This window comes from Homo sapiens, chromosome 2 (assembly GCF_000001405.40).
Source record: "Homo sapiens chromosome 2, GRCh38.p14 Primary Assembly".
NCBI classification, from domain to species: Eukaryota; Metazoa; Chordata; class Mammalia; order Primates; family Hominidae; genus Homo; species Homo sapiens.
This window is the reverse complement of record NC_000002.12, coordinates 30,024,169-30,026,891: the sequence shown is the minus strand read 5'-3', so window position 1 is coordinate 30,026,891 and position 2,723 is coordinate 30,024,169. Positions and strand designations below refer to the sequence as shown.

General features: G+C 49.6%; 1 annotated feature.

The window, feature by feature from the left end:
- Positions 410-910: an enhancer, noted in NCBI's record as "H3K4me1 hESC enhancer chr2:30248848-30249348 (GRCh37/hg19 assembly coordinates)". NCBI's record gives its function as "activates a minimal SCP1, AML or CMV promoter by ChIP-STARR-seq in primed H9 embryonic stem cells {active_cell/tissue: H9 hESC(primed)}" and the evidence as "EXISTENCE:reporter gene assay evidence [ECO:0000049][PMID:30033119]".

Sequence of the window (2,723 nt, the reverse complement as noted above, 5' to 3'; positions counted from 1 at the left end):
CATAGCTGTTTGGCTTAAAGCAGCAGGAGATCAGTGAGGCACTAGGAAAAGAGCACCAGGTGGGCTTGCCTCTGGCTCTGCCACACAGTCGGACGTGGGGGAAAACTGCCAACATCGAGGGAGCTCAGTTTCCTCTTCTGCACATGGGGTGGGAAGAGTTAGATGGTCTCTGGGGTGTTTTCGAGGCCGAATCTCCAGAATTCCCAATTTGAGATTCCAAATGCATCTGGAGACTGCGGTGGCTCAGCCTGAGTGGGGCCAGGAGGTGGCAGCACCTGCTCTGTTTAGAGCCTGATGCAGCCGCAGGGGCTGGGCTGTCACTTCTGTAGGGCTGGGGTGTACATCATGCTCCACTCCCTCTGGACTCTTTTATTACATTTCACTGCAAGTTGTTTGTAGTCTGCTGGGTCATGAGACGGTCGCAGCAAGATTGCCAAACCCTGGGTACAGGGGACACTTATTGTCCCCTCTCTGACTTCACCTGGCATGACACACGCAGGCCAGGGCACAGTCATCCGCAACAAGGCCCCAGTGACAGGCTCATATCCGGGCAGCTTGCTGGAGCTCCTTGACGCAGGCTTCCGTCTCCCCGAGGGCAAATGAGAGCTGCATCCATGAGTAAGCGCATGTGTTCGCCCACTCTGAATGAGCACGCCTGTCTCCCAGGGCCGTGCGCTTCCTCCAACAGCTGCATTTGCTCAGGGCAAAAATGGAAATGCCTAATGCCAGGCATGACTGATCCTAGCCAGATAAAATGATTGAGGGTTGTTCATCAAATTTGGGGAGCTTTTACTAAATGGACATGCACACAGACACTTAAAATGTAATAGAATGCCTGAATTGCGTGGAACCGTACACATGATCTAGTTTAGTGGTTCTCAATCCCACCGGGCATCACCACTGAAGCTTGTTAGAAATGTAGATTCCTAGACTCAGCTCTAGCCCCATCGAGTAAGAATGTCTAGTGCTGGAGGGCAGGCGCGGTGGCTCACGCCTGTTATCGCAGAACTTCGGGAGGCCGAGATGGGCGGATCACGAGGTCAGGAAATCGAGACCATCCTTGCTAACACGGTGAAACCCCGTCTCTACTAAAAATACAAAAAAATTAGCCGGGCGTGGTGGCAGGCGCCTGTAGTCCCAGCTACTCTGGAGGCTGAGGCAGGAGAATGGCGTGAACTCCAGGGGGCGGAGCTTGCAGTGAGCCGAGATGGCGCCACTGCACTCCAGCCTGGGCGACAGAGCGAGACTCCGTCTCAAAAAAGAAAAAAAAAAATGTCTGGTGCTGGAACCTAGGAACCGGTATTTTTAACAAACTCTTCAGGTGTGTCTAATGTAGCTTGTCTGCAGAAAGGCATTTAGGAACCACCATCTAGTCTATCCCTGGCATTCAGGGAGCTTGTTAGCAAACTCTTGCTCTCCTTTGCTTCCTCCTCTCCCTCATGGAATCAGAATCCCTGGTGAGGGGATAGCACTCTGATTCAACAAGCCCTCCAGGAGTAGGGTGACCAACTAGGCTCGGTTTGCCTGGCACTGTCATGGTTTTACCACTGAAACGCCAATATCACAGGACTTCCCTCAGTCCTGGGAGTACTGGAATGGCTGGCTACCTCTTGAGGTGATTTTTATGCACTCTAAAGTTTGAGAAGCACTGGAAACAATTTATTTCACAGTTGAGGAAACTGGAGCCAGGACAAGAAGCAGTTTGCCCATGGACAAGCAGTGAATTAGCAGTACAGACAGGGCAAGTCTTCCAGCCCAGCATCCTTGCTACTCCTGGAAATATTTTGCTCTAAGTAGCTGCCTCACTCTTTCCTACTCTCCACTAGGAGCTAACCCTGGAGGAGCTCATTATGGCGTGGCCATATTCCAGGTGAATAATCTGTATTCTATGGCCTTATTTGAGTGAGGCGTGCGTAATGACAGGTGCAGGTACCATTACACTTTAATGAATTCTTCTGGGGCTTCTCTTGGCCCACGTGGGGAAGGTGATTTACAATTTAATGTATTTCCATTTGGCCATAATCCCCAGGATAACAGCATTACTGAAACGGAAAATCTTTGACAAGGGATTACAACCCAGAGGCTGTGGTACAACCAAGTCGGGGTCCCTAGCTGCTACGCTACCTCCAGGGGCTTCCCAGGGGCCGTGGGATAAGCCCTAGCATGTCTCCCTTTGTCCTGTCACCGATGGCCACCAAGACTTGCCAAGCTATATTGATTATCAGCTCCAGGTTTGACTTATTTATTCCGTGGTGCTTACTGCATTACCAATTAGCTATGAATGGGGTAACAGGCCAGGGGCTCTTGTGATACAGGGGTTCCCAAACTGGAGCATGCATCGGAATTACCTGGAGGGCTTGTTAAAGCACAAGTGCTGGCCCCTCCCCCAGAGCAACCATAGAGTAGCCCATTATGAGCACTTGAGTGATTTTGTCAGGTGCTGCTCATTATTGATGCCACAAGGCTGGCCTTACTGTCTAAGTCAGGGTACTAGGTGGTTTCTAAAGACTCTCCTAGCAACAAAACTTATAAATAAGGTAGGTCTAGCTTTACATGGGATATAATTTCATCATTACTCTTCTCCCTTCTCCTAAATGTTCCTTTGTGTAGGCCAACACCTAAAATCTCACAAATAGAGAACAGTTTTTTTGATGTAAATGTTTACCTTCATCAACATGTAAATATCTAAGGGTAGAGGCGGAAAGAACACTAACATTTATTCA